This window comes from Homo sapiens, chromosome 17 (genome assembly GCF_000001405.40).
Source record: "Homo sapiens chromosome 17, GRCh38.p14 Primary Assembly".
In the NCBI taxonomy this organism is placed as follows: Eukaryota; Metazoa; Chordata; class Mammalia; order Primates; family Hominidae; genus Homo; species Homo sapiens.
In genome coordinates, this window is record NC_000017.11 from 28193680 (window position 1) to 28204351 (window position 10672).

At 41.0% G+C, this 10672-nt stretch overlaps 1 protein-coding gene across 3 annotated transcripts in view; it reads left to right on the forward strand.

Moving 5' to 3' along the window:
• NLK (nemo like kinase) overlaps nt 1–10672 on the forward strand; it is a 163398-nt gene that overhangs the window by 151003 nt on the left and 1723 nt on the right. For 2 of the 3 annotated variants that reach the window (NM_016231.5, XM_005257988.3), the window contains one exon: nt 903–2702. In NM_016231.5, the coding sequence (NP_057315.3) occupies nt 903–957 (55 nt within the window). In that variant the 3' untranslated portion in view covers nt 958–2702. Of the gene's footprint in view, nt 1–902; nt 2703–10672 lie in introns of those variants that run through there. The other variant, XR_934482.2, reaches the window with a different exon arrangement.

Sequence of the window (10672 nt, forward strand, 5' to 3'; positions counted from 1 at the left end):
TCCTGCTGCCCTTTCCCTTTAATCATATTAAAGTTGGTTGGATTTGTTGGACCACAGTCAAGATTTTATGCTTAAAATTTGCAAAATCAGGTGACTTTCATTTCTTCCATGTATTTTTCTATTGGAAGAAGGAATTAAGTTGCACTTTTACTTATCTGTGGTTTTAAATTACTTTGTTTTACTATTTTCCCCTAAGAGTCAGTGACCCAGTCAGTTAGGCAGTTTAGCAGCTTAGGTGCAAATGATCCTGGGCCTTGGGGAAACAAGGGGTTACACTTTTCCCTCTCAAGTTTATAATCTAATTAGCAATCTTAGACATAGGAAAAAGCCAATAACAGATCTAGATCACCAATGCTAAATGATTACCTATACTTCTCCATTAATACTTGATAAAAGAATGCTTATAAGGCCCATTCAAAATAGGCCACTGTATTTTGAGAGGCTACTTTTAAATGGATGATTCTACATCCCTTAAGGTTATTTTCCTGATTGATTATTGAAATTATTACTTGTAATACCTACATTTACTTTACACTTTGAAGTAGGCACTGTGGAAAATACTTCACATCTATTATCATTTATTCATCCCAGTATCCTATGAGGTAAACAGCATTATTTCTTTCCAAATGAGAAGAGATTAAGGCACTTGCTCAGGGCCATACAACTAGTAAATGACATGTGGTTTTCAAGCCTACATATTAGCCACTATACCAGATTGCCTCTCCATAGATAACAGGTCCATAAACAAGCAACTTAGAATAAATTCAACTTCAAAGAAACAAATAAAAATCCAGAAGTGGAATTAATTTTTTCAGAGGAAGAGAGGAAAACAGGAAGTAGTGAATTACCCTTTTGTCCATTGTGACATTACAACTAATTTCTCCATCTCTGTTTTCTTCCAGTTCCACTGTTGCTCAGCCATCTGAGATGCCCCCATCTCCTCTGGTGTGGGAGTGATGGTGGAAGATAATGTACTACTGAAGATGTAATGTAGCTTTCCACTGGAGTCTGGGATTTGCAATTCTGGAGGTTAATCATGCTTGTACTGTAATTTTACTAATGAAGTTTTAAATTAACAACCACTACTTGTATGATATGAATAATATTTAGAAATGTTACTAGACTTTTAATCTTGTAAAGTGGTTGTGCTTTTAGAAGAAAAATATTTTACCCAGAGTTGCACATGTTTTATGAATTTAGTGCAGCTGTTATGGCTCACCTCAGAACAAAAGAGAATTGAACCAAATTTGGGAGTTTGGGGTTTTATGTTTTGTTTTTCTTTTCTAAAATGAAGTGAGATTGTTCACACACACACACACACACACACACACACACAAACACAAAGGACAGTCATACATTTTGATATTTGAGCCATTCCTAAAGATTTGGGGTTTTCTAAAACTAAAGAATCTAGGAACCTTGCCTGCGACCAATCATGGAGCCACGTGAGCTGATCGTGGCTGCACCTGGGGGGAGGGTAGGGAGGAGGGGCATGCCACCTAATGATCAAGCCCTATAATTAGCTTCTCATTAGAGCCGTGATGGTGATGTGTGCTGTCTAAAATCCAATGTTGTGGGTAGAGAGAATGAGTTTGTGACTAGGAGAGACTAAACTTTTGTTTTCCTTACCCAGTATAAATATATATATATATATTTAATCTATTTTTATTAGAAGTTTTTCTGCTCTTTCTTACATAAAAGAACCCCAAGCATGCATCTTTCATGTGTGTAAATAATTCATTTCTGGGCTAATTTCAAAAGAATCCCAATATTGCTGTATAGAAAGAGAACTAGCTTGCACATTTTAGGTCTGTGAAATTTTGTGAGACTTTTCCTGCACTGGACAGTAAAAAAATAATAAAAGACAAAAACAAATTTAAAAAAAAATTTAAGCCACAAAAAAAGGCACATAGGGAATTATGTCAAATGTGTTTGTGTCCTTAGGCAAAGCTGTGGGAGTCTTGAAATGTCACAGTAGTAAATAACTTATTACTTTTTGACAAGTTCTTTTTTTCTGTTGGAACACTGAATTCTTCTGTGCATATGTACATATGAATACAAATCGAAGGCCTCTACCTCCTGGAGTTATACAACTTGGCTTGTTTACCTCCACATGCTGATGATGACTATTTTTTTTTTTTGAGTTCAGTGTGGAGACTTGAAACTTGAATGTCCCTTCCAACTTTTATATTAAAAATAAAAAGACAAGAAAATTGAAGATCATTTTTCACCTGTACAAGGAATACTAATGGATCGTCTTAAAATTGGTCTAGGAAAAAACCTTGGTGTGTGTTATGGACAATTAACTGTTAAAGTTATTGTAAGTTATCTGTATTTAGCAGAGTATTTTCAACTTGAGTGATCTGAGCTGAATTTGAAGACTATTAATAAGTTATGTTTGGAAGTTTTAACTTCAATGAAGTAATTATTTGCTGTGAAAGAAACAAACATTGAATTACTAAACAAAGATGGTGCAATATCTTTGTTTTTTTTTTATGAGGCTCCTGAGAATCAACCCAACTGAAGCATTTCAATTCACTTGAATGAGAAACGTGTTTAGTATCAAAAGAGCCCAAGAAGACACTGGTGTGAAAGGTACAATCTCAGAGGTTGGTCAATTACCGTGGCACACTTTCTGGTCACTTTGTACAATGTAGATTTGAAGTACAGTGGTGAAAACATTAAATGTGACATTTGAAAAAGATGTGTCATCTGTTTTATTTCAGTTTCTTTCCTTTGTTTTCTCTTCAGTACAGCTCGTATCCTGACTTTGCAAAGTTTTGAGACACTTCCTATTTATATTTCCACTTTGATCTTTGAGGAAATTGGTTGTTTTTAAAAATCTTCTCAAAAACTTTAGATTGACAAAAACATATTGAAAATTTAGTTAAATCAATATCAAAGATGTGATTTAAATATACACAATAGAGAAGTCTTTTTAGACCTTGGAGTCTCTAATCCAGTGGTTTTCAAACTTTTTTTTCTTTGAAGCAATATCTTGGAGTCCAATATATTAAATACATAAAAGTAGATTGCTCTGTATGAAGCAGACTGGTAAAGGGACTTGACACCTCCCTCCTCTTCACTTCTGCCTCCTGCCTCTAGCAGCCCAAAGGTACTTTCAGCTAAGGAAGAAGTCCCAGCCCAGTGGTGGTGTAATCAAGGCCTGAAACCAGACTGCCTGACTTCAAAATACTTTCCCTGAGGCTAGATAAAGCAACATTACTCTTGAGTTTGTAGGTGGCGTGTACTTCTCCCTATCTTTTTTATTTAGCAAAATGAATGGATTTTTTTTCCTGACATTGAGGCAGTTGACTATTCTAACTCATGTAAATTAATATAAATACATTTATTATTCATTCAACAAAATTTTGAATACTTACTAAGTATAAGAATTACTTGTCAAGAAGCCATATTAATATCACCAATGCTTAGATAAGGAAACCAGTTTTATCACTTACAAGAGAGCATTTTGAGTTAACACATATCATTTTGAAACTAAATTCTGACCGGGCATGGTGGCTTACACCTGTAATCTCAGCACTTTGGGAGGCTGAGGTGGGCAGATCACTTGAGGTCATGAGTTCAAGACCAGCCTGGCCAACATGGTGAAACCCCATCTCTACTAAAAATATAAAAATTAGCCAGGCATGGTGGCGGGCGCCTATAATCCCACCTACTCAGGAGACTACGGCAGGAAAATCGTTTGAACCCAGGAGGTGGAGGTTGCAGTGAGCTGAGATCGTGCCAGTGCACTCCAGACTGGGCAACAGAGTGAGATTCTGTCTCAAAAAAAAAAAAAAAACAGAAACTAAATTCCTTTACAGATAAGTATTTGAGAAAATATATTGACCTGCTCTTACTGGAACCTACTTAGAAAACCAAGGAGATTTGTTCCTTGTTGCTTTATTTTTGGGAATTGCAAAACTGTGGAGTCAGTGTGGACAGGTAAGTTAGGGCTATAATCACCTACAATTTGTGTGCAGTTTAAGAACATGTGGAAGATGCAGATTATCTCTTACGATGACTCATAAGGCTTAGAATTTTTGTTTTTTTTTGTCTCTCTATGGTATGTTATTTAAAATATTACTTTATATTAAAATAAGAATAGAATGCAAAATTTGAATTTTGAAATTAAGACAACTTTTAAGATATTTTCAGAAAACAAATTGAGTTTACTGTTAACAGAGCCTCACCAAAGGCAGTTCTAAAGGGGACTGACTTTACTTCAAGAAGATGACATACTTCAAGAGGAAGAAAAAGAATAACTAAAAGCAGATCTCCAAGAATGGTGAACAAAGAAATCAGTGAACACATGGGGGAAACTAAGCAAACACAGATTGCATATAATAATAATGTCTGGTTGTGGGGATGATAAATTACAGCAGCAATCTTTAAACTGGGGTACAGACACCCCTAAGGATAAATGAAGACTCCAGGAGGTACATGGCACATATGTTTGTTTGGGTCTTTTTGAGACAGAGTCTTGCTCTGTCACCCAGACTGGAGTGCAGTGGCTTGATCATAGCTCACTGCAGGCTCAACCTCCGAGGCTCAAGTGAGCCTCCCACCTCAGCCTCCCAAAATGCTGGGATTACAGATGTGAGCCATTCACCCAGCCGAGCACGTATACTTTTAAGAGAGTCAACTTCACTAACTTTTTTTTTGAGGCAGGTCTCTGTCACCCAGACTGGAGTGTAGTGGCGCAATCTCGGCTCACCACAATCTCCGCCTCCCAGGCTCAAGCGATTCTCCTGCCTCAGCCTCCCAAGTAGCTGGGATTACAGGCACATGCCACTACCACCCAGCTAATTTTTGTCTTTTTAGTAAAGATAGGGTTCCACCATGTTGGCCAGGCTGGTGTCGAACTCCTGACCTCAAATGATCCACCCACCTTGGCCTCCCAAAGTGCTGGGATTACAGGCGTGAGCCACCGTGCCTGGCCATCTTCACTATTTTTTTTTCCTCCATTCTCTTCCGGAGTTTTATTTTCACATCCCTCTTCACAGTTATTCTCCCACTTGAAAGACGAATTTCTTACACATCTTAGATATTAATGTGGTGCAATATACCTAAGTATAAAAACTTCCTGGGTTGCCAACTACAGGGACAATTTGAAACAGGTTTTGCTTATAGAGACCTCACCTCTTGCATCTCACCACTGTCAGGTAATCCATCAATCCTGAGAGAAAACCCCTGGAAAGTAAAGCAAAGAGGACACTAGGAAGAAATACTGGGACTGGTGGTATTTTATTTCATTCAGGCAGCAAATTCGTGGCACAGCTGTGTCTGTCTTAAAATTGAGAAGTCAGAAGGTTTTTGTGGAAACACATATAAAATGAATGTAGACCTTTCCCAATAGAAAGTAAATCGGTTTTGCCCATGTGGTTTGCCAGTTAGGACTTTCCAGTAGTTTATATGGTAGACGTTTTCCGCAATTAGAATGAGCCTGAATCTACAGCTACGAAGTTTTGGGGAAAATATATTTAAAGCAAAAGATTAAAAATTAACCAAAAATATTGTAGAAATACTGGCGAGGATGTGAAGAAATTGGAATCCTTGTGCATTGCTGCTGAGAACGTGAAATGGTGCAACAGCTGTGGAAAATGGTATGCCAGTTCCTCAAAAAAATTAGACACCAGGCACAGTGGTGTGTGCCTGTAATCCCAGCTATTTGGGAGGCTGAGGCAAGAGGATTGCCTGAGGCTGGGTGCAGTGGCTCACACCTATAATCCCAGAACTTTGGGAGGCCAAGGCATGCGGATCACCTGAGGTCAAGAGTTCGAGACCACCCTGGCCAAAATGGTGAAAACCCGTCTCTACTAAAAACACAAAAATTAGCCAGGCGTGGTGATGGGCGCCTATAGTTCCAGCTACTCAGAAGACTGCGGCAGGAGAATCACTTGAACCCAGGAGGTAGAGGTTGCAGTGATCCGAGGTGGTGCCACTGCACTCCAGCCTGGATGACAGAGTGAGACTCTGTCTCAAAAAAAAAAAAAAAAAAACAAAACAAAACAAAAAAAAAAAACAACTAGATAACCAGGAAATATAACAGCCACTAAAAAGAAAAAAAAGTTATTGAGTTCTACTTTGTGTTCAATATCTCTGTGCTGGCCATGGAGATTATCAAAACAATAAAATGTCAAGGAGCCTATGGTTCATGGGGATGGAAATACAAAGAAATCACAACATGATTTCAGCTCTGCTCTGAGACAGGGTTGACTGCCCTGGAGTACTCAGGGGTGGCAGCTAACCCAAAGCAGGTGAAGTGGTCAGGTAAGCTTCCCCGGAGAGCTGAATTGAGGATAAATTAGAGTTAGCCTGGCAAAGAGAGGTGATCCGATCTGTGCTTTCAGTTCTTTATATATTCTGAATACAGGTCTTTTGTTGAGTATGTGATTTGCAACTATTTTCTTTCTGTCTGTAGCTGGTTTTTTCATTTTCTTAACATTGTCTTTTATAGAACAAAAGTTTTTATTTATGATGAAGTCCAGTTTATCAATCGTTTTCTTTTGTAACTCATGGTTTTGGTGTCCAGCCTAAGAACTCTGCCTAAACTGAGGTCATGAAGATTTTCTCCTACTTTTCTCTAAAAGTTTTATCATTTTACATTTCTTTTAGATATATGATCCATTTTGAGCTAATTTTTGTATAAGTTGTGATGTTTAGGTTGAAGTTCTCTTTTTGTATATGAATGTCCACTATTCAGACACCATTGTTGGCTCTAGGAATCTATACATGTGTTAAAACTCATAAAGCTGTACACCAACGAAAGAGTCAATTTTACTTTATGTTACTTTATTATTATTAATTTTTTGTTTTGAGAGGGAGTCTCGTTCTATCACCCAGGCTGGAGTGTAGTGGCGCGATCTCAGCTCACTGCAACCTTCGCATCCCTGGTTCAAGCGATTCTCCTGCCTCAGCCTCCCAAGTAGCTGGGACTACAGGCGTGTGCCACCATGCCTGGATAATTTTTGTATTTTTTGTAAAGGCGGGGTTTCACCATGTTGGCCAGGCTGGCCTCGAACTCCTGACCACAGGTGATCCACCCGCCTTGGCCTCCCAAATTGTTGGGATTACAGGCAAGCCACCACGCCCGGCCAACTTTGTTACTTAAAAAAAATTTTTTTTTTTCAGTTACACTTTTATAACATGCACATCCGTTTTAACGCTTATACTGGCAAGGCTGTTGACCTTTCTCTTTGTGATTTCTTCCAGGGCTTTTACTCTTGTAAAGCTCTCTTTCCACAAGAGGTCTGATGATTCTAGGAATCCTTTCTCCATTCAGTTGCCTTTGCACTTTGGTCAAAAATCAATTTGCCATATTTGCATGGGTCTATTACTGTACTTTCTATTCTGTCCCATTGACCTAGCTGTCTGTAATTCTGTCATTTCACCTGTATCACACTTTGTTTTTTTAGACAGGGTCTCCCTCTGTCGCCCAGACTGGCATGCAGTGGGTGTGATCTTGGCTCACATCAGCCTCCACCTCCCAGGGTCAAGCAATTCTCATGCCTCAGCCTCCCGAGCAGCTGGGATTACAAACATGTGCCACCACACCCAGCTAATTTTTGTATTTTTTTAGTAGAGATGAGATTTTGCCATGTTGCCCAGGCTGGTCTTGAACTCCTGGCCTCAAGTAATACTCCAGCCTCAGCCTCCCAGAGTGCTGGCATTACAGGCATGAGCAACTGCACCTGGTCTTTTTTTTTTTTTTTTTTTAAAGAGACAGGATTGCATGCCTGTAATCACAGCTTCTCGGGAGGCTGAGGAAGAATAGCTTGAACCCAGGAGGTGGAGGTTGCAGTGAGCCAAGATTGCATCACCGCACTTCAGCCCAGGCGACAGTGAGATTCCATGTCAAAAAAAAAGAAAAGAAAAGAAAAAACAAACAAAAACAAAATACTAGCCAATTGAACTCAGGAATATGTATTTTAAAAAATGCTATAGTCAGGTGAGATTTATCCTGGCAATACAGGGCTGGTTCAGTATTCAAAAATCAATCATAGTAATTCACCATATTAACAGCCTAAAGAATTAAAAGCAAATGATCAGGCAGGGCACAGTGGCTCACACCTGTAATCCCAGCACTTTGGGAGGCCGAGGCGGGCAGATCACCTGAGATCAGGAGTTCTAGTCCAGCCTAGCCAACATGGCGAAACCCTATCTCTACTAAAAATACAAAAGTTAGCCGGCCGTGGTGGCTCATGCCTGTAGTCCCAGACACTTAGGAGGCTGAGGCAGGAGAATCACTTGAACCCAGGAGGCAGAAGTTGCAGTGAGCCAAGACTGCGCCACTGCACTCTGGCCTCGGTGACAGAGCGAGACTCTGTCTCAAAAGGAAAAAAAAAGCAAATGATGATATTGATTGATAGAGAAAAACTATGTGACAAAAATTCAAAATTCACTTACAATTTGAAAAATAATACTCTTAGGCCCGACTGGGCCACTCAGACCTGTAATCCCAACACTTTGAGAGGCTAAGGCAAGAGGTATTACTTGAAGCCAGGAGTTCAAGACCAGCCTGAGCAACGTAGTAAGACCCTGTCTCTAAAAAAATTTTTTTAAAAATTAGCTGGACATGGTAGTGCCTGTAGTTTCAGCTACTCAGGAGGCTGAGGTAGGGGAATTGCTTAAGCCCAGGAGTTTGAAGTTACTGTGAGCCATGATCACACCACTGTACTCCTGCCTGGGCGGTCTCAAACTCCTGACCCCAAGTGATCCACTCACCTCAGCCTCCCAAAGTGCTGCACTCACCTCAGCCTCCCAAAGTGCTGGGATTACAGGCATGAGCCACTGCGCCTGGCCAGCTAATATTTTGTTGAAGATTTTTACATCTGTGTTCATGAGAGATATTGATCTGTAGTTTTTTTCCTTAAAATACCTTTGTTTAGTTTTGGTCTCAGGGTAATGTTGACCTCATAAAATGAACTGGGGAGTATTTTCTCTTGTTCTATTTTCTGGAAGAGATTGTGTAAAATCAGTGTCATTTCTTTTTCTTTTTTTTCTTTTTTTTTTTTTTTGAGACAGGCGCGCACTGTCACCCAGGCTAGAGTGCAATGGTGCAATCTCAGCTCACTGCAACCTCTGCCTCCCAGGTTCAAGCGATTTTCCTGCCTCAGCCTCCCGAGTAGCTGGGATTACAGGCACTCACCACCACGCCCAGCTAATTTTTTGTATTTTTAGTAGAGATGGGGTTTCGCCATGTTGGCCAGGCTGGTCTCGAACTCCTGACCTCATAATCTGCCCACCTCAGCCTCCCAAAGTGCCAGGATTACAGGCATAAGCCACTGCGCCCGGCCATTTCTTCTTTAGTTATCCTGCTCTACTGCAGACTTCCTATGATTGTGTCCGTGTTCAGGGCCAGGCAGCAGGAAGACACAGAGAAAAGAAAGCTATGGGGGTTCTCCTTCTTGGGACTACAACTCTTTTGAAAAATAAACACGCAAACACGTATGTGTGTGTATGAATGTATATACATACATACACACACACACACACACACACACACACACACACACAGTCTCAGTCTGTTGTCCAGGCTGGTCTCCTGCTCCTGGCCACAAGTGATCCACCTTGGCCTCCCACAGTACTGGGATTACAGGCATGATCCACTGCCCCTGGCCCACAGCTCTCAATCAGAGGGGGAAAGATTTCCGTTCCTCAAAGTTTTGGGTGTCTGTGGACCCTGCAGCCACTAATGCTACCATCACCACTGTCACTCTCATGGAATTGTCTAGGGGCTGGAGCACGGGAGAATGAAGAAAAGAAAAATTGAGTTCCTCTTCTGTCTCAGTGCTAGACCTTCCCTTTCCACTCCTCGAGGCAGAGCCAGCACTTCCCCTGTTGATCTTTCTTTCTTTTTTTTATTTTTTGAGATGGAGTCTCACCATGTCGCTCAGGCTGGAGTGCAGTGGCACAATCTCGGCTCAATGCAACCTCCGCCTCCTGGGTTCAAGTGACTCTCCTACCTCACTCTCCCACATAGCTGGGACTACAGGCGCCTGCCACCACGCCTGGCTAATTTTTGTATTTTTAGTAGAGATAGGGTTTCGCCATGTTGGCCAGGCTGGTCTTGAACTTCTGACCTCAGGTGATCCACCTGCCTCAGCCTCCCAAAGTGTTGGGATTACAGGCATGAGCCACTGCGCCCGGCCCTGTTGATCTTTCTCGTCGCCCCAGTGCCCATTCTGGATTTGGGGCTGTCTTGTATCCAGGCTGGGGAATATCAGAGAGAAAATGAGAAACTTGCTTCAGCTCAGTGGAACGCTGACTTCTGGCTTTCTTCCCTCGTTTCCCCGCTGTTTTTAGTTTCACACTTCTCAGAGAGCTGCCCTGTGCATGTCTGTCCATGTTTCACAGCAGCATTCAGTGGAAGAGACAGGGTGGAGGGTGCTTACTCCATCTCATCTGGAACCTAATAGCTTTTTAAACTGTCACAATTATATGAAGTAGGTATTTCTTATATTTGACAGATGACAAAACTGAGGTTCCTAGAGGATAAGTAATTTTCCCAAGATCACACAGCTAGTCAGTGGCCAACCCAGTCATCCTAGCCCCAGAGTTTGTGGTCTGAGCCGCTAGTTCTGCAGCTTTAGAGGGAGCTGAACACAACAGTTCTGTGGGGTGAGGTATGGGGCTTATGTGTTGTGGACAGGGCCTGGTATCTCAC